Genomic DNA, 26,232 nt, shown 5'->3' on the forward strand with positions numbered 1-26,232 from the left:
CCTTAGCAAAGTGGCAACAGGACAAGTTTAGCAGTGGCCCTCTAAGGCAGATGCTCCATGCCCTCTTCAGAAATCTCCTGGCAATATTTTCATTCCAGGGAATATTTATGAAGTACTCACTTGTGTTTCAACCTCCATGGTTTGATTTTTGTTTTAGAAACCCAGCTAATTCTTCCGGGGGAAAAAAAGGTCCCAGTTTAAAATTCTGATGCCTTTGGTAAGTTGTCCACAGAAGAGAGAAATTTCGTTAATGATCTACCCACCTTGCTCTCAGGTATGCCTCCCATGTTTCAAGGTTCCCTATGTACCTTTAATTTTGATAATAATTAGGAAGCTTGTAAGCATTATCAGGAAGCAACTGTGTGCCCTGGTTGGGGGAGGGTGAATACATCTGGGCATTAAGTAACTGGCCCTCAATCTCTCTGAATGACATTTCAGTGCATTTTTTAAGGATCAATTTTCATACTTCATTGTGGTGGCTGATTCTGGTATGCTGGACAGAAAGGTTTATGATGCCCAATGGGTTAATCAGCTTTGACCAAATCTTTCTTGAAGTACTAAAATGGAGTGTAGCTCTCATCCACAGCAGCTTTCTCCCTCTGCTCATTAGTTCATGTCGGGACTTTAATAGTACAAAGCAAAAGAAAGAGGGTGTGTGTTTGCGTGTCCCCATTTGCCTTTTCCCTCTATACTCACCAGCTGAGAGTAATTTATTTGTTTCCACAAGGGGAAATGTGGAGATAAATGCCTCAATGATTAAAGTCCTGGCCTATAAGTTGGAAAACCTTGGTTCTAGAACTAGCATCACCTGTGACTTTCTTTATGACCTTGGATTTATTAGCTAGATTTTTCTGGGCCTTTGTGTCCTTTCTGTAAAATAGGATGGTCTTGATCATCCCATTTCACAGGGTTGTTGAATACCTAATGAGATAATATACCTGGTCATGCTTTGGAAACTCATTAGTGTTTTATGGATATAAGAAATGATTATTATACTCAACAAATTCTGATTAGATATTCTGCGTTTTTTCTCATGCCCTATTTAATAACAATCTTATAACTTAAAGAATCAAAATATAAATTAAATAACTCTGTATATTTTACAGAGGTAAAACTTAAATTACGGGTTAAGAATTTTCAAAGGGCCAAAGAAGAAAAAGCCTCCAATAAAAAGCACAAGGGAATTTATTTTTGTCTAGTTGACTGGTCTTTCAGAAATAAAAAAGAAGCCATTTCAGAACTGACCAGTAGATGTCAGTGTTTGACAAGCACATAGCTGTTTGCTGAGGCTCCCGTATTAGCATCTGGCTCCATTTCAGCTAGCAAGTTTCTCTGCAAAGGAGAGGGAGTTTGTGTAACTGAAGCAAAGATTTTGCTTTCTCACTTCTCGCCCTGTCTTGCGGAAAACAGCATGATGCTTTGGGTAAGTCGTCGTTATCTTCACTTTCAGTGATTCCCTTTATAGATCTGCAGTCTGCTGAGAAGTTTAAAACACAAAATTAAACATGTGCTTAGCTCCCTGAAGGCCACATACTTGTTTTTCTTCACAAAGGTGCTTTTCCTTTTCCAGACCCACCTTCCCTTCATCCTACCCTTTGTGTAATATTAATCAAATATAGCCAGGAAATACTGCTGTTTGGGGACCAGGTTCCAAAGCTCTTGAAACAAGGATTTTATTTTTTGCTGCAGAGTGACACTTGCTCTGATTTCAGATGAAATTGCCATTTTCTAAAAATGGCAGCTACTTGGTGTGTCATTTTTCAAAAGAAAATGTGATCACATTGTAGCTGCGCTAAGCAGCCTCTTTCAGTCCTCTTTCGTTTTACACTTTTACTGGAAGGCTTTGAAAGAGGCAATGCAATTAGGTTCCAGTTGTCTCTGTTGAACTCAGAGATGCTCACCTTTTCCTGGGGAAGATGAATTCTTGTTATGTTGGTTTCTTATCGCATCCTGGATTAGGGAGGAAATGTGCAGCGAATTCAGACTAGGGATGGTGATAAAATCAACTGAGCTCTTTGAAAAGGCCACCCGCCTTGGGTTTCTGGAATTCAGACTTGTGGGGCTTTTACTCTTGAACAATTTTTAAGGATTGGGTAGTCAGGTTTTCTTTTCTTTTTCTTTCTTTCCTTCTTTCTTTTTCTTCTTCTTCTTTTTTTTTTTTTTTTTTTTTTTGGTGCCTGTGTTGCCCTTTATAAGCAGCCAGCTCAGATGCATTTAGAGACCATTTTTGTGGAATGATTTGGAACTGCAATCTCCCCTCCTTGGTTTGCTCTCATCCTTTTTGCATTTCTATTGGCCAAATGGAATGAAATAGTTCAATGTCATAAAGTCAGAGGTGGCTTTAGGCTTTGGGCACACTTTCTGAAGACCAATGGAGGTGGTCTGGGTGTGACAACGCCTACCAGTGTGGAGTAGTGCCCTGCTGCAGCATTCTTAGTGGCTGCTGGCCAAGAACTGGCCTTGTCCTGGGAAATGAGTCATCAGACATAAGCAGCTTGTTCTTGGAGGCAGAGCTGGCATTGGTTTCAAGGTCCTCTTGCATTTGGTGCACATCTGCTACTGCTTCACTGTGTCTCAACCTCCCTGGGTCCCCTCTCAGCAGTGTTCATAGTCTTGGAGGAAGAAACGTTCCCCCATTTCCCAGAAGGCTGATTTTCCATCACCTTGCCACTTCCCAACTCATTCCAGAGAACTTATCCCTCCTCAACTCCTGAAGGACCCTTTTTTTTTTTTTTTTTTTTTTGAGATGGAGTCTCACTCTGTCACCCAGGCTGCTGGAGTGCAGTGGCATGATCTTGGCTCACTGCACCCTCCACCTACGAGGTTCAAGCGATTCTCCTGCCTCAGCCTCCTGAATAGCTGAGATTACAGTTGCGCGCCACCACACTGGCTAATTTTTGTATTTTTAGTAGAGAACGGGTTTCACCATGTTGGTCAGGCTGGTCTCGAACTCCTGACCTCATGATCCACCCACCTCAGCCTCCCAAAGTGCTGGGATTACAGTCATGAGCCACCATGCACAGCCAAGGACCTTGTTTCCATACATAAAGAGGTTGAAGGTCTGGACCTTTTAGTCTGACACCTTCAACCTCTTCCTTACCTTGATGCTTCCCCTCTGCTTTCCTGCAAGTGAGGTAGTTAAGAGCAATAGTTTTGGAGGCCAACATACCATAGCCACTTGCTACCTGTCTGACATTAGGCAAGATCCTTTATTTCTCTGAGCCTCAGTTTCTTTGTTATTATTTTTTGTTTTATTTTAAATGAACAAATAACAATTGTATATATTGTATATTTATAGGACACAATGTGATATTTTTATACATGTTAATATTGTGAAATGATTAAATCATGCCTATTAACAAATCAGTCACCTCATATACTTTTTTTGTGGTGAAAACATTTCAAACCTATTCTTTTAGAAATTTTGAAGTATACGATGTGTTATTATTTATTATAGTCACCATTTGGTACAATTGATTACTAGCAATACCTACCTTGCTGTGTTTTGTGATTAGTAAATGAAGTACTATATGTAAGGCAACTAGCACTTTGTAGGAGCAAAGTAATCTATAGCTGCTGCTGTTAATTTTGTTGTTATTACTATTCTACTTGTTGCCGGCCTGCTCTCATCTCACTCTCCTCCCTTTAACTGTTCAATATTTTGAATGACTAGGTTATCCTTATATTCATTTACATTTACCATTTACTCACTATCCATTCCCTCTTGTTTTGGCAATTATATTTTAAATTCCAAAGGTTCTTCTTGTTCTCTGTTTTTTTGCTTGTAATATCTTGTCCATATTTTATTTCATTTTTTTTTTGAGGCAGAGTTTCGCTTTTGTTGTCCTGGCTGGAGTGCAATGGTGAGATCTTGGCTCACTGCAACCTCCACCTCCCAGGTTCAAGCAATTCTTCTGCCTCAGCCTCCTGAGTAGTTGGGATTACAGACACCTGCCACCACGCCCAGCTAATTTTTTGTATTTTTAGTAGAGATGGGGTTTCACTATGTTGGCCAGGCTGGTCTCGAACTCCGGACCTCAGGCCATCCACCCGCCTTGGCCTCTCAAAGTGCTGGGATTACAGGCGTGAGCCACTGTGCCCAGCCTATCTTGTCAATATTTCATAGATGCAAAGATCATTTCAAACTAGTCTGAAGAAAATAATTAGAATTTAAAAAAATCTCCATTGTTCCTAGAATTATTTTTATTCTAGGGTCTTTTTATGTTTTCTGCTTGTTTCTGTTTGCTCAATTATCCTCTCTTCTCTGATTATTGACATTTTATCTACTTTTTCTAGGTCCAGTTCAAATGACATATCCACTATGATGTCATCCTTAATCCCCATAGTTGGAAGCAAATACTCCCTTCTCTTCTTCACTTCTATAACCCCTGGTTTGCACTTTTTTTTTTATTACATAGCACCATATATTGTATAGTTAAATGTTTGTTTTTGTGTTTCAGTTTGACATTCTCCTTGGAATATAAATTCCTGAGGTCCAGGACTGTGCTATACATGCCAACCACTCTGTGTGTGTTCAGTACTGGGCTCCCTGCCTTTGTAGGGACACAGAAGGATCTTGCTGGCCATCAATACAGTGTGAGAATCATGAAACTTAAGTAAGAATGTCCAGTAGATCAAAGATTGAAGTAGTAGAGAACACAGTGGATCTTTTCTATAAATCTTTGCAAGTTGGCCTTGGGTTGAGACGAGTAAAGTGGAGACTTGCCTGAAGTGAGAGCTGGACATGACTTTTTGTGATTCTATAGAGACAATGGCTGTGGGCCCTGTGAGACTGCATTGCTGGGATACCCTGTCCCCCTGTAGCAAATGGCCAATAGCTTCAAAGTAGATGTGTGTCAGCATGGAGCTAAGTTTGGTTTCAGTAGTGGGTTTGGACTGTGTCAGGATTTCTTCAGGGGGGATTAACTCATGTCTGAATATTTTAGCCCAAACTTCTCAGCAGGAAATTCCTTCACAGTAAACATCATGTTACAAATGAAAAGGTTGTCTCTCTTTTTGTCCAAAGCCTGTCAATCTCACACATATAATACAAGGTCAAGGCGAAGGCTTGACTGATCTGACCAGTAAAGATACAATGAACCACTTTTAGATTTAGACAGTTTATTATTTACATAGACAGCTGAAAGCAGAATAAGCCTTAAAGTGCCAGATCCCTGTGATCCTTGTCCCATACGCTACAAAGGATGACATGGAAAGAAAAGAGGCTGGATGACTGCATTGCACACTGTGGGATACCCCATTGCTGAGGAGCCTATTCCAGGGTGCCTCCAAGCAGTTTTATGTTCTGTAGCTTTGTATTCACCATAATACGTAATAATATAAATTTATATTTATAACTTTTATTTGTATTTTATATTTATATAAAATTTATATTTTATAAATTTAAATGTACATTTATGTATTATACATAAAAGCAGTTTTATGTTCTAAGGGGGGCATAGCAGAAAACCCCATACCTCATCAGAATCAGGCAGGTGATGAGAAACGATCTCATTGCAGCCCCTCCAGGAGAGGGAGGGAAGTGAGTGAGAGACTTCCTCGTAGCAGCTCCTTATAGGCTTCTAGTCCTCTAATGTTCCAGAAATAGCACAATGCGTTCCACCAAGACTCAGTCTGTGGTTCAGCCTTTGCCTGCATGCTCTATGTGGATGTGTGGTAAGGTCATCAGGATTCCATGGCAGAGCCAGTTTCCTACAATGCCATTCCTTCTTTGATACCTAGTCACGTGTTGACTGATAGTAACTTTGGTTTCTACATGCTGAAGACTTCTGACAACCTCCCCCTCACACCCCTGCTTCTCTAGAGTCAGAGCTTACCTATTTCCAACAAAACTATTTATAGAATTTGCCCTTATTCTTATTGTTCACCCTGTTCCTTATCCTTCCTAATCAAGTTTGGCTGATTCACTTCCTTGCTTTCTCATACAGGGTTCTTTCATCACAAGAAACATCTAAGAAACTTCCTGATCAGGACAGGAATTGGCTTCTAAATCTGGGTCTCTATGAGCCTAGCACTTCTAGTTTTTTTCTTTTTCTCACTTTGTCCTATTTGGTTTCTGCAGGTCTTCAGGATTCTGTATGTGTGTGTGTGTGTGTGTGTGTGTGTGTATGTGTGTGTGTGTGTGTATGTGTGTGTATATATATGTATATATACATATATATACACACACATACACACACACACACACATATATACACACACACACACACACACACATATATATATATGTCTTGACCAGAGGCCTTTCCCTACCCTTTGTTAGGGAATCCTTAGTGTACCTTAGAGTATCTTAGAGTACCAGATGGATTTGGGCTGTGAAGACTGAAAGCCTACAGCTTTTCACCTTCTTGCCTTGACCTTGAGTTCACATGTGCCTCTTGATCCCTGGCAACCTCCTTGCCTAGGTACTAACCTATTGCCTAGTCTAAGCCCTTACTTTAACATATTGCTGGCTCTCTGGATCCTGGCTTTCTGCCCTGGATCTTCCTGCCTATGTCCTTAGTACTAGGAGATTTCATAAAACCACATATTGAAAGAATGTCATATGTGGCCAATTTCAGTGAGGCCAAAACCAGCGCTGTGATAAAACACCACACCACTATGGTTGCATTATTGGGTCAGTACCAGTACTATGAGGTAGGATTTTCTCTTTCCGTGAGCTACTATGATGTAGTATTTCCTCTTTCTGTTAGATACTGCAGTTGGGGCTGTTGAAAGTAAGTAGAATTTACTCTAGCTCTGCTCCCTTGGAAGTCATACCCAGGCAGACAGTACTTAGAACAGGGGAGCTTGGTATGAAGAATCACCAGGGTGCTTGCTCCTTCTACTATGAATGAATGGGTTAGTGGTGAGTCTTGCTGGGAATGGCCCTCTTGAGCAATATTTTAAAAAATATAATAATGCGGCATTCAGTTATGGTTGGGGTGGAGTGTAGGGACTCAGTCATTCATCTATCCAGTCATTTATTCAACAAATATGTATGGTTTCTTACGGATTAGGCACTTTTCTAGACTCATCTGTGAATGAAATAGATACAATTCTTGCCCTCATGAAATTCTAGTTGGTGGTATGGAGGGGCAAAAACATTAAACAAGTAAGAGACAAATATGATGAGATGAAACCAGGTGCTGACAAGGGTTATAAAGAAAATACATTGTCAATGTGCTAGAGCAGACATGCGTTAGATAAGAAAGGCCTGTCTGAGACAGGAGTGTGTAATTTATGTGAAGATCAGGAGGAATAGCTTTCTAGGCAAAAGGAGCAGCTACTACTGAGGCAATGAGTAGGGACTTAGCATTCTAGGCTGAGGGAATACAAGTAAAGCCATGGAGGCTCAGATAATCTTTGCTAAGGGGTGTAGTGGTAGGTTTTGGATGGGGAGGAGGTGGCACTGTGAGGACTTCTTAATTAGACTTTTTTAAATGAACTGTCCCCCAAACACATAAGGACTCAATAGCTTTCAGGCCCCTTGACCAAAAGAAGACATTGTCTGAAATGGAGGTTTTTATAGCCTCTGACACCCATTCTGATGTTCATGAGTTGGCAGAGATGATTGTGAATCCATTTTTAGGATGCAGGAAAGCATGACTTTTTTGCATACATTCTCTCTTCCTTTCTTCTTCATATACACCCAGTGAAAAAATTGGACAGATTAAATCACACTAAAATGTTAGTGAGTGTGTATAATCCCTCCTATGAGTAGTTGCCCTTTTAAGAAGACTCCAGAGAAAAAGAAACAAATATAGGAAAGGATAAATGAAATGACTGAATTCTTAATATTAGAATTTCAAACCCTTGGCCAGCCAAGTAAATGAAAAATCCCCTTTAAGTTTGTTGGCATCTTTCACCTACAGATTCATGAGGTCAGGGAACACTCTCGGATATTCAATTAGATTTCTTTTTTAAAAAAATTTTATTTTATTATTATTATACTTTAAGTTTTAGGGTACATGTGCACAATGTGCAGGTTAGTTACATATCTTTTTTGTTTTTGATTTTATTTTAAGTGCCAGGGTACATGTGCAGGATGTGCAGGTTTGTTACATAGGTGTATATGTGCCCTGGTGGTTTGCTGCACCTATCAACCTGTCACCTAGGTATTAAGCCCCATATGTATTAGCTATTTTTCCTGATGCTCTCCTCACCCTGCTCTCCCGCGACAGGCCCCATTGTGTGTTGTTTCCCTCCCTGTGTCCATGTGTTCTCATTTCAACTAGATTTCTTATTAGCATTCCTTCTCTGTCTCAGATCTGGAGGTATTCCAGATGTATGCACAGCAGCCTCTGGGAACTATCTGCATTTTCCATCTGCTGCTGGAGTCCATTTTCTTGAACTTTGGTTTCCCGCCTGAAGACAGGAACAATCTCTGCCCTTCCCCTCCCCATAATGAGCTTGGAAGGCTGACAGAGAAGATTAAGATCATTGCCATCAAGTTTTATCTGCTGTAAGCAAAAACAGGAAACCAAGAAAGAAAGGCGCAGCATAGCAATAGCTTTTGAGTGGGTAAGATGGGTGAAGTTTTTCTTAAATCCTCTTTCCCGTGTACCTTCCCACCCACATGTTCTTAGTCAGATTTATTTTTTGCATATTAGTTTCTGAGGATGACAAGAAACTTGCCCTTTTCTTAACTGTGATTTTCAGAAGCAGATTATCCTGCACTTAGTTGAGACCTCTTACCAATTCCTTGGAATAAATAATACCCTGGGCTCAGGAAGTGGGTGTTGAATAGAAATTTTATGACTCATAATGGAGTGTCAAAATAGCACTGCTGATGTATGTATGGGTCCCTTATCAATTTTGGAAATGACACTGGGTAGAGCCATATTTTCCTCTTGCATGGAAGTGCTCTGACTAAGGGAAAGTTCTTGATTTCTGCACTGTTTGGCATCTCTTGATATTTAAAAGTCCCACATTGAATGGTGGCTTTTCTCAAAGGTGACTTGGGTTTGGCCTAGAAAGAGAGCTGTTCTCAGAGGAGGGGCCAGAGCATTTCCCCCAGGAGGGGCAACCAGAACCTAAGCTGCCAGGATGAAGGGAGAAAGATTGACATTTCCCTGGCTTATGCCTTGAGGTACTTGTTTCCAAAGAAGGCTGAGGTCAGGATTGTATGCTTTTCCTAGAGTAGGCTGTAAGTTCTCTCATGATATCAAGCAGTTAGTTGACATTCCCAGGTCTCAGGCCTTTCCTTTTCTCTCTCCCCTGCTGGAGGAAATAAAAAGTGGTTCTTTCACAGGGCCCATGGGTCTGAGGGGAGCCTTCCCTTGAGCTCAGCCCTTCTCTTAGGATAGCACCTCAATGACCACACTCAGCATGGGCCCTATTAGTGTAGTTTTCTCATTAATGATTGTTTTGCAGTAATGAGGTTCTATGATATGCCTGTTGGATTGTTTGTGCTCCATGTTGATACCACTCAAACAACAAATATTTGATAACATTTGTTAATAATAATATGAATAATAATAATGATACAGTGGGGCACTTGAAAACAATATGAAATATATTCCTGCTCTTCATGAGTTCAAGAACCAGTTGAGGAGATAGAAAACCTGGCATAAATAGAGAAAAACAAGACAGCGTAGAATGAGATGGCAGATTGCACAGAATGAGATGCTAGATTGTGTAATTTAGTCTATAGGGATTCGAGGGGAAGAGCAGGGAGAAGCAATGTCAGGATGGCAAAGCTAGGAAAGTCTTCCAAGAGGATGCAGGGCTTAAAGGGTGACTAGAACTTGGTGGGGTGAAGACAAGTAAGGGGATATGTGGCAGAAGTGCCAGCAAAGGTATGGAGACAGAAACTGACTGCCGTATATATACACAGAGAATAGGCAGTGATGGTTTAGCAAAGTCGATATTCTGAAGTGGGATATTCTCATTGAGGGGTTGTGGGACTGGAAGACTGTAAAGGCATGGTGAGGCCAGGTAATGAACATCTCAGAAGCCAGATATTTGATTTGAACTGTTTTTATTAGGCTCTTTTGTTTGCAAGTGATAGAGACACTTTCGAGTCATCTCAAGTAAAGGGGTGGTGGGGTATTGTTAAAGAGCAGTAAGAAAGAAAGGTTTCAGGGGAAGCAAAGTCAGAAACCAGAGTGCAGAGGGACCTCATGGGAATTGTACTTGGCTTCATGGCAGCTTCAGGGACCTCAGCAGGGTTCTAAGACTTTTCACCCTAGAGTTCTGTCATTAAAATGGCTCAGCTCTACTTCCCCCTCACTACTGACTGCCTTAAGTGTTTTCCTCTGCCCAGGTTAGCTTTTGGATAGTTCCTAATTCCTATTTAATTTGTTGTTCCTGCTCCCTTATAATTTTGGTTTGCATGGCCTATCAAGCCTTCAGGTTTCTATCTTTTCCCTTATATTTCTGACTTTTTCATATTCCTCTCTAGGTATTCTTTCAGCTTCAGCTCCTACTTCTTTCATTTCTCTCCCTTTCTCTCTCTCCCTTCCTCCCTGTTTCTTTCTCTCTCTCTTTCTTTCTCTTCCCCCCCACCTCATATTTTTAGGGCAAATTCCTGAGAGAGAATCTGATTGCCCTAGTTTATATTTTTATACCTGGTTCTGTTTTAGATCACTGGCCAGAATGTAGATTGGTGGCCCTTGGGTCAGGAGCCTATCCTTGGTCCTTCACTGGGCTGGGGATGTGGATGTGAGGAAGTAACATCAGACAAATATATAAAATATTGGTCATGCACATAAATAGCAAACAGGCATATGAAAAGGTGCACAACATCACTAATCATCAGGAAAATGCAAATTGAAACTGCAATATTACCTCACACCTGTTACGATGGCTATTATCAAAAAGACAAGAGATAATAGCGTTGGCAAGGATGTGGAGAAAAGGGAATGCTTGCACACTGTTGGTAGGAATAGAAATTAATACAGCCATTATGAAAAGCAGTATAGAGGTTCCTCAAAACATTAAAAACAGAACTACCATGTGATCCAGCAATTCTACTTCTGAGTATGTGTCCCCTAAAAATAAAATCAGTATGTCATAAAGATATCTGCACCCCCATGTTCACTGCAGCATTAGTCACAATAGTCAAGATATAGGATCAACCTAAATGTCCATTGATAAATGAATGGATAAAGACAATGAATGAATACATAAAATGTGTGTGTACACACACACACACACACACACACACACACAAAATGGAATACTATTCAGGCATAAAAAGAAGGAAATGTTGTCATTTGTGACAATATGGATGAACTGGAAGACATTATGCTAAGTGAAATAAGCCAGTCACAGAAAGACAAATAATATACGATTTCACTTATATCTGGAATCTAAAAGAGTCAAATTCATAGAAACAGAAAGTAGAATGGTGGTTGTCAGGGGCCGGATGGTGGGGGAGATGGAGAGATGCTGATAAAAAAGTACAAACTTACAGTTATAAGATGAATAAGTTCTGGGAATCTAATGTATAGTGTGGGTGATGGATGTGTTAATTTGAATGTGATCATCATTATACAATATAAATGTATATCAAATCATCACATTGCACATCTTGAATATATATCATTTTTGTTAATTAAATATTTTAAAATAAAAAAGGAGAGATTGGTTATAGAGGAAGTGATGGATTCAGAATATAGGTTCAGGCAGTGAGAATGGAGAGGAAAGATTAGATATGAAACATATCTCAAAGAAAATAATTTGGAAGAGTCAGTATCTTACTGGCTACAGTTAGAGAGAGGAAAATAAAAGATAAATCACACAATGTCAAGGTCTAGATGACTAGGAGAATGATAAGGTAAAAAATAAGGTCTCCTGGACAGAGAGTTAATTTAGGGGAGAGACAGTAAATTCTGTTTTTGCCATGTTGAGTAAAAGTCAACAGTGGATTCGATTGGACATCACTGTTTTGTCCTTAACTTTGTGACCTCCCTTTTTCCAAAACTTGCTAAGGCGATTTAAGCCAGGGGCTATAAGTGTGTGGAGAGTTTCTCTGAAAAGGTCCACTTTAGTCATTTTTTCCTTCACCTTTAAATAGCTAATTGGCCCCATGGAGCAATGGTTTCTATCAGGACAATAAGTAAACAAGGCAGATGTGAGGAGGCCTTTCCAGCCCTGTGTGAGCCTGATTCTGTTTTGGTTACTGTTTTCAGAATCTTCAGAAGAGAGAAAATGAGTAAAGATGTAAGGAAATGAGGCAAAGCAATGGAAAAACAGCCTTGAGCAAGGTAAAAATAAGCTACATAATTTACAGCTGTTACATACCCATTTTGAGAATAGCAGTTCAGAGGAACATGCCAAGTAGAGTGCATACAAGCATTTGACAGAGACCCAGTTGGACACTTTATAGAAAGGGTACTTGAGCTCACAGGTTTGGAGAAAGCACAGAACAGCTGGGCCTTAGGAAGTACAAGGTAACCTCTGCAACCTTGGTGTTGGCCTTAGGGACTAAAACTAGAGGCTCAAAAACTGTCGGGACCTTCTCTTCTTGTCTTTGCTTTTCCCTCTGTGTTGGCTTCATTCTCTTCTGTTGAAGGCAGGATTCTCCGTATGGTGCTAGACATGGCTGCTGCTAGCTCCGAGCTCACATCCTCAAGGCACTTTGACCAGAGAAGAAGGGGTTCTTCCTTGCCAGCTCCAGTCCAAGAAAACCTGGGGAAGAGCTCTGATTGGTTTGTCTTGAGTCATGTGACTAGCGCCAGAGTAATCACTATGGCCAGGCGGGTGGGGTCCTATCCATGGCCAGTTTTGGAGCAAGTGTTCACTTCTCAGCCAATTACTATGGCCATGGATGTAAACTCATGTGAAAAGGATGGTAGCTGTGATTTTGACCACATGCTTAGGGCTGGAGAGGAGGAACAGCAGTTCACCAAAAGAAGGGAGAGGAGAGGCAGCACAGACAGGGCTACTGGGGTATCTTTGTGAACCAAGTGATCACCCCGATTTGTGTTTTTCCATAATACTCACACGGAAACAGGAGGTATTGAGAAAACAGTGCACATCTTTTCAGTATTGCCACTTGCCTTTCCCTCCTCATTGTCTGTTCTACTTCCCATCCCTGCCACCAAATGGTATACTCCAGCTATACTAAAATTACTTGAATTCTTTAGAAGTACTGTTCTTTCTGTTGTTCCCTCAGCTTTGCTTCATTGTTCAGGATTCATTTTGGGTGGCACTTTCTTTGGAAAAACTTGATTGCCCCAACTATCTACCCTCACTTTCAAATCTCGGTTATGTGCCCCTTTTATATGCTCTTATTTTACTCTGTACTTCCTTTCATATTTTGTAATTGCTTTGTTATTTCTATGTCTCTCCCACTGGAATGTAAGCTTCACGAAGGCAAGGACTTTGTCTTTCTCAATTACTACATCATCTCTAATACCTAGTGATGTGTCAGGCTCATTGTTGATTTTCACTAGATATTTGTTGAATGAAATAATAAAGGAATGACAGTTTCGAGTCTCAAATGGCAGGGCCAAATACCCGGAAAAGATCCCGGAAGCAAATAAGAAAGAAAATGATCTTCTTTCAGATGTCTTTTCTTAGATAAAGGAAGGGAGGAAGGGAAGGAGAAAAGAAGAGAGGAAGGAAAGAAAGTGTTCATTTATTATTTTTTTTGAAGAAAACCACAGCCAGAGAAGAAAGTGTTTAGATAAATATAGCTTATTGTAACATTTCAATAAAGTCAAAGATATTTGCTTTGCACTTAGAACTTTCTATTTCTTTTAGTTTTCACACTAAGTAATGAGTTACATGTAATTAAAAAGGTTAAACAATTTTTTACTTTCTTGATAAATTATTAATCAATTAACAATACATTTTCCTAACGAAATAATTATATCACTGTTAGAAAATGAGCCTGCAGGTGAATTGTATTATAACCCTTCTCTTAGTTTTCCACACTTGAACAAAGCTTATGTGTTGGGTCTAAATCAGCCTAGGTACCAGTGTTTATCTGGTGGCAGTTGATCGAAATGTTTAAGATGACAATGTAATGAAGTGTGGTCCACAGACTATCTCTGTCAAGGGTGAGAAGAAGCTTATTACCATGCTGGTACCAGTACCATGCAGACACTGGATCAGAAACTCTGAGGATGGGATAGCAATTTGTATGCAAAAAGGCCTCCAGGTGATTCTGGTACACATTCAAGTTTGAGGATCATTGACAGTAAAATAGCTGCCATGGGGTAATCATTGTGCCTTTTTACAAGTTAAGAGACAGAATTGTCAGATACAAGACCTCTGGTGATCATTTTCATGAATGTGTTGGGATGATACAAATTTCGATGGACTGACAAATGTTTGGTATTTGCTTGCAGGATGCTACAAACACCCGTGCACCTCCATGCTTGGGTTGCTCAGTATTCTGGGTAACCCCTTCATAGGATTTGTACAATTTCACATAAGTAAGGTATGGTGCTGGAGTGTTGGTGTGTCTAAATGTGCAAAATAATTTGAAAAGAAAAAGTTCCACACACTTCTATAATAGCCCGGTTGAAAATCCCTGATTGTTTGGCTGAGTTTAGCATTCTTTTTTTTTTTTAATTTAGCTTTTATTTTAAGTTCAGGGGTAACTGTAGAGGTTTGTTACATAGGTAAACTCATGTCACACAGGTTTGTTGTACAGATTATTTTGTCACTCAGGTATTAAGCCTAGTACCCATTAGTTATTTTGCCTGATCTTCTCCCTCCTCCTGCCCTCCACCCTCTGATAGGCCAAAGTGTGTGTTGTTCACCTCTATGTGTCCATGTATTCTCATCATTTAGCTGCCACGTATAAGTGAGAACATGTGGTATTTGGTTTTCTGGTCCTGTATTAGATTGCTAGGGATAATGGCCTCCAGCTCTATCTATGTCCCTGCAAAGGACATGATCTCATTCTTTTCTATGACTGCATATTATTCCATGTTGTATATGTACCACATTTTCTTTATTCAGTCTACCATTGATGGGGATTTAGGTTGATTCCATGTCTTTGCTATTGTGAATAGTGCTGCAATGAGCATATGTGTGCATCTGTCAAAGCATTCTTTAGAAAGCTAGATGACATGTGTAGTAGACAAAGGCTTTGTTTCCAAAAAAATCTCCATGGCTAGGTTCATGCCAAGCTCAGGTACTATTGTTGGAAGGAAACATAATGTGGTTATTCTAAAAGATGCCTTTTGCCAAGTAGCCTCTTGGTTACTTCTTGGTTCCTGAATTTCCATTTATTTGCTTGGCTCTTAATGGAAACATTTCAAGTCTAGTTTAATTTAAAGCCTAGTACTGTTGTTGCTGATACTAAAATTCAGCTGGGGAAAGATCAAATGATACTTTGTGAAGCTCTCCTGTGATACTCTTTGAAGCATTCTGGAGATCTCTCAGGATCTTTTAGGATTAAGGACAAGTGGTAGGAAGAAATGGTAGGACATTCTAATAAATGGTAATAATAAAATCGCCCTCTGCTGTGCCTCTCTGTGAAGCAGCATTTTCTAAACTCTGCTCTGTAGGTGTTCCACAAAATGTGATTCTACTAAAAATGTGTTCTATGGTTAAATAAGTTTGTGATGCTGCATACTACAAAGCTCTTTTAGAGATTCATTATTCATGTAAAGTTTCTGTTAAATCCTACCATAAAGTCATCTGTTTAACTCTGTGTAATGTTTCCCCCCAACTTATTGAGCCCCTGTCAGCTGACCAGCTTCTTCAAATGGGAAAAAAAGTACCAGAGGATCAACTAACCCAGACAGGCTTATTGAGCTTTATGTAGTTTTGTTTTAGACATATGCATCAGGAGGCAGTGGTTGAGCTGGGCAGCTTCCTCTCTTAGTTTATAAGCTGTAACCACAGAATATTCCTTAGCCATTGAGGCCAGCTTGAAGGATATCACATTACCCACAGACATGGCCTTGATTTCCAAAGTATCCTTGTGGTCAATAATACCTAACTTTTGTAGAACTTTAAAAGTACTCTGTTATATATACTCTTATCAATTATTATTTAAGGAAAGTATTATCATTTCAGTTTTAGAGGCCTAAAGAGGTTAAGTACCTGTCCAAGGATAGTAAACATGACTGGGAGTTAAAGTTTCCAGAATTAAGGTTTTACTTCAACATAGTACTGCTTCATATATATATATATATATATATGTGTGTGTGTGTGTGTGTGTGTGTGTATATTATATATATATATCTATCTATATATATATATATATATCTGTCTGTCTGGTTATATATGTAGAATTCTTTCTGTTGCATCATGCTTTTTATACTATGCTCTGCAGAGCCCTAGGGGTTCTCAGAGGTTCCCCTTAGGGGCCCCCCAAGAGGGCATGATGAATGGGGAGCCAAGAGAGATTGGGGGAGAAACTTCTATTTGAAATCACAAAGCTTTGCCTTTATCTGTTAAACAGAGTAGGTTTAGCCGGGCACAGTGGCTCATGCCTGTAATCCCAGCACTTTGGGAGGCTGAGGCGGGTGGATCATCTGAGGTCAGGAGTTCGAGACCAGCCTGGCCAACATAGTGAAACCCCGTCTCTACTAAAAAGAATACAAAAAATTAGCTGGGCATGGCGGTGGGTGCCTGTAATCCCAGCTACTAGGGAGGCTGAGGCAGGAGAATCACTTGAACCCGGGAGGCAGAGGTTGCAGTGAGCTGAGATTACGCCATTGCACTCCAGCCTGGGCAACAAGAGTGAAACTCCGTCTCAAAAAATAAATAAATGAATGAATAAATAAATAAATAAATAAAAATAAAAAAAACAGAGTAGGTTTGAGAATAAATTTCTTTTCTTTTTCTTTCTTTCTTTTCTTTCTTTTTTTTTTTTTTTTTTTTTTTTTTGAGACAGTGTCTTGCTCTGTCATCCAGGCTGGAGTGCCGTGACACAATCTTGGCTCATTGCAACCTCCACCTCCGAGGCTCAGGTGATTCTCCCACCTCTGCTTCCTGAGTAGCTGGGACCACAGGCACATGCCACCACACCCAGCTAATTTTTGTACTTTTAATAGAGACGGGGTTTCATCATGTTGCCCAAGCTGGTCTTGAACTCCTGGACTGAAGCGATCCGCCCACCTCAGCCACCCAAAGTGTTGGGATTATAGGCATGAGCCACCGCACCCAGCTTTAGAATAAATTTCTTTGGAGGAAAGTGTTCCTAAGAAAATTTGTAAACTGGCTGAAAGCTTAATTTTCTAGTTTCTGAGGAGAGTAAGGCAGGTACTTTCTCCAGATGAATAGATCTTTACATAGACGCAGACTGCCGGACTATGGATATAAACCTAAACAAGCTTTAAGGCCATTTCTAGTTCCTCAAGAGACGTAGTGGATAAGAAAGGGGGGCTCTCTAGGCAAAGAGGGATGTTAAAGGTTATGGTTTCTCACCACTCCAGGCAAAGTTTAGGGCAGTTTGGTAGAGGAGAAGGAGCTGGATCTTTCTTCTCTGTCTATAAAGTCGACAGCATTTCTTATCAGTATGTTTTAGCAGATTCAGGAGCAATAGAACTGGTTGGGTTGGGTTTGTCTTAGGTAGTCCTAGAGAAAGTTCAGCTTCTGCCCAATCTTCCCCACAACTGCTATTATAGACCAAATAGGCGTGGTCTGGGAGTAGCCCAACAGCAGTAGCCTGGAGGACTGATTGTATGGAGGGCATGACCAGGTATTTTAGGGGCAGGTCTGCCGAGGTATTCAGGGACTAGGCACCTCATGCAAAATTAATTCTCTAAAAGACAAATTGCTGAAAACTGACTAGACAGTTTTCTTTTGCACATAGCATTGGTACCTTTGATGGTCAATTTTATGTGTCAACTCGGTATTTGTTCAGCTGTTTGGTCAAATACCAGTTTACATGTTGCTGTGAAGGTGTTTTGTAGCTGTGATTAATGGCTATAATCACTTGACTTTAAATAAAGCCGATTACCCCCCACAGTGTGGGCTGGCCTCATCCAATCAGTTCAATGTCTTATGAGCAGAAACAGAGGTTTCCTCAAGAGGAAGGCATTCAGCTTCAGGACTGTGACATAGAAATTCTGCAGGCCTTCCCTGTAGATTTTGGACCTGCCAGCCTCCACAGTTGTGTGAGCCAATTCCTTAAAATAAATCTCTTAATGTACATATACATATATCCTGTTGGTTCTGTTGATTTGGAGAACCCTCACTGATACTGTATCTAAATTCATTTAGCTGCTTAGCTCCCACTTAGAAGTGAAAACATATGATGTTTGGTTTTCCATTTCCGAGTTACTTCACTTAGAATAATAGTTTTCAATTCCATTCAGGTTGCTGTGAGTGCCATTATTTCATTCCTTTTTATGACTGAGTAGTATTACTTGATATATCTATATACCACATTTTCTTCTTTTCTTTTCTTTCTTTTCTTTTTTCTTTTCTTTTCTCTCTTTTCTTTTCTTTTCTTTCCCTTTCCTTTCCTTTCCTTTCTTTTTTTTTTGATGGAGTCTCACTCTGTTGCCCAGGCTGGAGTGCAGTGGCATGATCTCGGCTCACTGCAACCTCCACCTCCTGGATTCAAGTGGTTCTCCTGCCTCAGCCTCCTGAGTAGCTGGGATTACAGGCATGTGCCACCATGCTTGGCTAATTTTTGTATTTTTAGTAGAGACAGGGTTTCACCATGTTGGTTAGGCTGGTCTCGAACTCCTGACCTCATGATCCACCAGCCTTGGCCTCCCGAAATGCTGGGATTACAGGCGTGAGCCACTGTGCCCAACCATGACATTTTCTTTGTCCACTCATTGATCGATGGGCATTTGGGCTGGTTGCATATTTTTGCAATTGAAAATTGTGCTGCTATAAACATGTGTGTGCAAGTATTTTTTTCATATAATGACTTCTTTTCCTCTGGGTAGATACCTAGTCATGGGATTGCTGGATCAAATGGTAGATCTACTTTTAGTTTTTTGTTGCAGGAAGTCAGGGACCCCGAACGGAGGGACCGGCTGGAGCCGTGGCAGAGGAACATAAATTGTGAAGATTTCATTTTAATATGGACACCTATCAGTTCCCAAAATTAAAACTTTTATAGTTTCTTACACCTGTCTTTACTGCAATCTCTGAACATAAATTGTGAAGATTTCATGGACATTTATCAGTTCCCAAATAATACTCTTATAATTTCTTATACCTGCCTTTACTTTAATCTCTTAATCCCGTTATCTTCGTAAGCTGAGAATGTACATCACCTCAGGACCACTGTTGTACAAATTGATTGTAAAACATGTGTGTTTGAACAATATGAAATCAGTGCACCTTGAAAAAAAACAGAATAACAGCGATTTTCAGGAAACAAGGGAAGACAACCATAAGGTCTGACTGCCTGTGGGGTCGGGCAGAATAGAGCCATATTTTTCTTCTTGCAGAGAGCCTATAAACAGACGTGCAAGTAGGGAAGATACTGAATTCTTTTCCTAGCAAGGAATATTAATAATTAAGATACTGAGAAAGGAATGCATTCCTGGTGGGGGAGGGGGGCATCTATAAACGGCCGCTCTGGGAGTGTCTGTCTTATGTGGTTGAGATAAGGACTGAAATTTGCCCTGGTCTCCTGCAGTACCCTCAGGCTTAGTAGGGTAGGGAAAAAAAAACCCACCCTGGTGAATTTGAGGTCAGACCAATTCTCTGCTCTCGAACCCTGTTTTCTGTTGTTTAAGATGTTTATCAAGACAATACGTGCACAGCCGAACATAGACCCTCATCATTAATTCTAATTTTGCCCTTTGCCTTGTGATCTTTGCTTTGCCCTTTGCCTTCTGATCTTTTTGCCCTTTGAAGCATGTGATCTTTATGACCTACTCCTTGTTCTTGCACCCCCTCCCCTTTTGAAGTCCTTAATAAAAACCTGCTGGTTTTGTGGCTCAGGGGCATCATGGTCCTACCGATATGTGATGTCATCCCTGGAGGCCCAGCTGTGAAATTCCTCTCTTTGTACTCTTTCTCTTTATTTCTCAGCCAGCTGACACTTAGGGAAAATAGAAAGAACCTATGTTGAAATATTGCGGGTGGGTTCCCCTGATAGTTCTTTAAGGAATCTCCACAGTATTTTCCACACACAAAGGCATAAGAATGATACATTGGAGTTTGGGGACTTGGGGGAAAGGGAGGGATGGGGGTGAAGGATAACAGACTACACATTGGGTATAGTTTACACTGCTTGGGTGAGGGGTGCACCAAAATCTCAGAAATAACCACTAAAGAACTTATTCATGTAACCAAACACCACTTGCTCCTTAAAAACCTATTGAAATAGAAAATAAATTTAGAAATACAAAAAGAAAAGAAATTAAAAATAAATAAATAAAATTTGGCCACTAGAAAATTTAAAAAAATATATATTTTCAATTGGTGGTTGGTTGAATCCAAAAAAGTAAAATAAATTTGAGCTGCTGTCATGCAGTCGGCTTGCATCAGCTAGCTCTATATCTAAGACTTTAAATACTCTAGGGAAAACAGTCTGGTGATGAGAGAGTTTCCTTGTAACATGGTTTTTGTTTGGAAAGGCATGCATTCCTCTTGAAGGGGATTTTCCAAGGGATCCCTACCAAACACCACTCTTACATTCTTATATTGGAGAGACCAAACAATAGCATTTGCCACTCCCAACCCTGATCTGGCACAGTTTCCCTAGTCCAATTCAGGAGAAAATGTCCCAGAATTTCCAGAGGATTATCGAATACTTTTCTGGGGACTGACAGAGCAACTTGCTCTACCAACATTATATGTATACTGCTTTTTTTTTTTTTTTTTGAGACAGGGTTTCACCATGTTGGCCAGGATGGTCTCCATCTCTTGACCTCATGATCCGCCCTCCTTGGCCACCCAAAGTGCTGGGATTACAGGTGTGAGCCACCATGCCTGGCCAATTTTTGTGTTTTTAGTAGAGACGGGGTTTCATCATGTTGGCCAGGTTGGTCTCAATCTCTTGACCTCATGATCCACGCTCCTTGGCCTCCCAAAGTGCTGGGATTACAGGCGTGAGCCACCATGCCTGGCCAATTTTTGTGTTTTTAGTAGAGACGGGGTTTCACCATGTTGGCCAGGGTGATCTTGATCTCTTGACCTTGTGATCCACCCTCCTCGGCCTCCCAAAGTGCTGGGATTACAGGCGTGAGCCACTGCACCTGGCCAATTTTTGTGTTTTTAGTAGAGACAGGGTTTTGTCATGTTGCCCAAGCTGGTCTTGAAGTCCTGACCTCGTGATCCACCCACCTCAGCCTCCCAAAGTGCTGGGATTGCAGGTGTGAGCCACCGCACCCCCACGTATACTGCTTTTTACTGTATTTCACAGTGCTCTCAGAAACACTGTCTTGATGAACCTTTGACATAGGTATGGCAGAGGCTACTTTGTTTTTTCACACCAGTTTCCTCTTTCTTCCCCAGTAAAGACCTTCAATATTTTGCTGAGTTAATTGCCATCCAGTAAAAAGACTACTAGTTCTCTGTGAAGCTAGGTGACGTCTAGCTTGTTTTGGCAGTATAGCATTGTGGTTAGGTACACATATTCTGGAATCAGGCTATGTAGGTTGCATTCAGATCTCTGCTTCATCCTTTACTGGCTGTAAATTTACTTCTCTATGCCTTCGTTTCTGCATCTGTAAAATTATATAATAATTGTACCTGTTGTATTGAGTTTCTCTGAAAAATAAATGAGTTTATATTTGTAAAGCTTTCAAACCAGAGCCTAGCACATAGTAAAGGCTATAGAAATTCTAACTATTATTTTTACTTTGGCCAACAAGATGAAAGTGTTGTGTGGGATACATAGCGAGTTTTGTTAAAGGGAAGGGGCAGGTCCATCTGCTCCTTTGTACTTAATCATAGGTGAAATGGGGTTGAAGCTTGAATAGCCATGTTAGCCACAAGATGAGGCAACAAGCTAAGAAGGAAGAGCAAGATAGAGCCTAGGCCTCTGATGACTGATGGCTGTGGAGGTGCCACAACAATTCTGGACTCTGTATCTATCTCCAGACTTCTTTTCATGAGAAAGAAAAGAAACTTCCATTTTGTTTAAGACACTGTTGTTGTTATTACTTTCTGTGGTTAAATGCAGCCAAACTTAATCTTAACTGATTTAATAAGTATGGAGGAGGCGCTACCTGCTTTTTATAGTTGAGAGATTAAGTATGGTCATCCAGTAAGAGTCATAATGTTGGATTGAGGGGAAAACAGTGGTTTCAATAACCCTTATATAGTCTAGCTTGTGACCTGGTATGAGGGAAATCTGCCAGATCTACATGTGGAGAGAGGCATTCATTTTCATCGTAGTTCTCTCCTCACGCCCTTCCCCTAACCTGAGCAGAGATGCTTAGCTATTAGCTATCTTTTCCCCCAGTGTGGACATCAAAAAAAGACTGGGACCACATTGATAACTGTGTTTAAGAGGCAGTTAGAGCCCTTTGTTTTCCGAGGCAAACTTTTCTAGACTCATCAAGGTGTTATATCTATTTCCATCCTTCTTCCTGGAATCTCCCTTCCCCAATTCCCACTGCACATTGAGTCTAGTCAATGCTGTCAGGTCCAACCAAAGACCCATCTTTTTTAGACAACCTTCTCTGATTATTCTAGTTCCTTCTCAATGGCTTGTTTAAAGTTCTAGCAACGGATCCAGTTCCAAGATGGCTGAATAGGAACAGCTCCAGTCTACAGCTCCCAGCGTGAGCCATGCAGAAGACAGGTGATTTCTGCATTTCCAACTGAGGTACTGGGTTCATCTCACTGGGGCTTATCAGACAGTGGGTTCAGCCCATAGAGTGTGAGCCGAAGCAGGGTGGGACATCGCCTCACCCAGGAAGCACAAGGGGTCAAGGAATTACCTTTCCTAGCCAAGGGAAGCCATGACAGATGGTACCTGGAAAATCGGGACACTCCCACCCTAATATTGCACTTTTCCAACGGTCTTAGCAAACGGCACACCAGGAGATTATATTCTGTGCCTGGCTCAGAGGGTTCCACGCCCACGGAGCCTCACTCACTGCTAGCACGGCAGTCTGAGATCAAACTGCAAGGTGGCAGTGAGGCTGGGGGAGGAAGGTCCACCATTGCTGAGGCTTGAGCAGGTAAACAAAGTGGCTGGGAAGCTCGACTTGGGTGAAGCCCACTGCAGCTCAAGGAGGCCTGCCTGCCTCTGTAGACTGCACCTCTGGGGGCAGGGCATAGCTGAATAAAAGGCAGCAGAAACTTCTGCAGACTTAAACGTCCCTGTCTGACAGCTTTGAAGAGAGTAGCGGTTCTCCCAGCATGGAGTTTGAGATCTGAGAACAGACAGACTGCCTCCTCAAGTGGGTCCCTGACCCTTGAGTAGTCTAACGGGGAGACATCTCCCAGTAGGGGCTGACTGACACCTCATACAGCCAGGTGCCCCTCTGAGATGAAGCTTCCAGAGGAAGGATCAGGCAGTAACATTTGCTGTTCTGTAATGTTTGCGTTCTGCAGCCTCCGCTGGTGATACTCAGGCAAACAGGGTCTGGAGTGGACCTCCAGCAAACTCCAACAGACCTTCAGCTGAGGGTCCTGACTGTTAGAAGGAAAACTAACAAACAGAAAGGACATCCACACCAAAACCCCATCTGTACGTCACCATCATCAAAGACCAAAAGTAGATAAAACCACAAAGATGGGGAAAAAACAGAGCAGAAAAGCTGAAAATTCTAAAAATCAGAGTGCCTCTTCCCTTCCAAAGGAACGCAGCTCCTCGCCAGCAATGGAACAAAGCTGGATGGAGGATGACTTTGATGAGTTGAGAGAAGAAGGTTTCAGACGATCGGTAATAACAAACTTCTCCAAGCTAAAGGATGATGTTCGAACCCATTGCAAAGAAGCTAAAAACCTTGAAAAAAGATTAGACAAATGGGTAACTAGAATAAACAGCATAGAGAAGACCTTAAATGACCTGATGGAGCTGAAAACCATGGCACAAGAACTGCATGACGCATGCACAAGCTTCAGTAGCTGATTCGATCAACTGGAAGAAAGGGTATCAGTGATTGAAGATCAAATGAATGAAATGAAGCAAGAAGAGAAGTTTAGAGAAAAAAGAGCAAAAAGAAACGAACAAAGCCTCCAAGAAATATGAGACTATGTGAAAAGACCAAATCTACGTCTGATTGGTGTACCTGAAAGTGACGGGGAGAATGGAACCAAGTTGGAAAACACCCTGCAGGATATTATCCAGGAGAACGCCCCCAACCTCGTAAGGTAGGCCAATATTAAAATTCAGGAAATACAGAGAATGCCACAAAGATACTCCTCAAGAAGAGCAACCCAAGACACATAATTGTCAGATTCACCAAAGTTGAAATGAAGGAAAAAATGTTAAGGGCAGCCAGAGAGAAATGTCGGGTTATCCACAAAGGGAAGCCCATCAGAGTAACAGTGGATTTCTCGGCAGGAACTCTACAAGCCAGAAGAGAGTGGGGGCCAATATTCAGCATTCTTAAAGAAAAGAATTTTCAACCCAGAACTTCATATCCAGCCAAACTAAGCTTCATAAGTGAAGGAGAAATAAAATACTTTACAGACAAGCAAATGCTGAGAGATTTTGTCATCACCAGGCCTGCCTTACAAGAGCTCCTGAAAGAAGCACTAAACATGGAAAGGAACAACCGGTACCAGCCACTGCAAAAACATGCCAAATTGCAAAGACCATGGATGCTAGGAAGAAACTGCATCAACTAATGAGCAAAATAACCAGCTAACATCATGACAGGATCAAATTCACACATAACAATATTAACCTTAAATGTAAATGGGCTAAATGCTCCAATTAAAAGACACAGACTGGCAAATTGGATAAAGAGTCAAGACCCATCAGTGTGCTGTATTCAGGAGACCCATCTCACGTGTAGAGACACACATAGGCTCAAAATAAAGGGATGGAGGAAGATCTACCAAGCAAATGGAAAACAAAAAAAGAAAAGCAGGGGTTGCAATCCTAGTCTCTGATAAAACAGGCTTTAAACAAACAAAGATCAAAAGAGACAAAGAAGGCCATTACATAATGATAAAGGGATCAATTCAACAAGAAGAGCTAACTATCCTAAATATATATGCACCCAATACAGGAGCACCCGGATTCATAAAGCAAGTCCTTAGAGACCTACTGAAATGCCTAACCTTGTTTTTACTCTAACTCGTTACTTTGAGTTTTATCCTGCTTGACTCTTTAATCACCTAGCCTTGCTTCTCATGTAAATAAGGCTCTCTCTAGCTGAGAAAGCCGGACAAACTCCAATTGACCCCTTAATTTACAAGACACAAAGGGCTCCTTACCCAACCCCCTTCTGTAAGGAGTTGGCCTGTGTAAACAGATCCTCAGCATTTCAAAGGAGCCCAATTAACTAAGATACTAGCACCAACAATATATGAAGTTCCCAGGATTTTTCTCCAGGAGATAACAACGTAAAACCTTGAGTTCATGTCCGGTATAGACCCTATATCTAATTATAATGAAAGATTTAAAACCTTGCACCTGGTACCATTGCTCTTTTTGTAACCATTTGTCTTTTAAATTGTTTATCTCTCTGTAACCATTTTGCTTCTTTTGATTCTTGCATGTTTTTACTTCTGTAGAATTATTGCATTTGAGTCCCCCTCCCCTTCCTAAACCTGGGTATAAAAGTTAATCAAGCCCCTTTCTCATGGCCAAGAGAATTCTGAGCGTTAGCCATCTCGTTGGCCACCAGCTTAATAAAGGACTCTTAATTCGTCTCAAAGTGTGGCATTTCTTTAACTCGCTTGGGTACAACACTACAAAGAGACTTAGACTCCCACACAAGAATAATGGGAGACTTTAACACCCCACTGTCAACATCAGACAGATGAATGAGACAGGAAGTTAACAAGGATAACCAGGAATTAAAGTCAGCTCTGCACCAAGCAGACCTAATAGACATCTACAGAACTCTCCACCCCAAATCAACAGAATATACATTCTTCTCAGCACCACATCGCGCTTATTCCAAAATTGACCACATAGTTAGAAGTAAAGCAGTCCTCAGCAAATGTAAAAGAACAGAAATTATAACAAACTGTCTCTCAGACCACAGTGCAATCAAACTAGAACTCAGGATTAAGAAACTCACTCAAAACCGCTCAACTACATGGAAACTGAACAACCTGCTCCTGAATGACTACGGGGTACATAACGAAATGAAGGCAGAAATAAAGATGTTCTTTGTAACCAATGAGAACAAAGACACAACATAGCAGAATCTCTGGGACACATTTAAAGCAGTGTGTAGAGGGAAATTTATAGCACTAGATGCC

General features: G+C 40.9%; 1 annotated feature.

Annotated features, from left to right (window-relative positions):
- Positions 24,728-25,391: an enhancer, noted in NCBI's record as "OCT4-NANOG hESC enhancer chrX:119947545-119948208 (GRCh37/hg19 assembly coordinates)". NCBI's record gives its function as "activates a minimal SCP1, AML or CMV promoter by ChIP-STARR-seq in naive H9 embryonic stem cells {active_cell/tissue: H9 hESC(naive)}" and the evidence as "EXISTENCE:reporter gene assay evidence [ECO:0000049][PMID:30033119]".

This window comes from Homo sapiens, chromosome X (assembly GCF_000001405.40).
Source record: "Homo sapiens chromosome X, GRCh38.p14 Primary Assembly".
NCBI classification, from domain to species: Eukaryota; Metazoa; Chordata; class Mammalia; order Primates; family Hominidae; genus Homo; species Homo sapiens.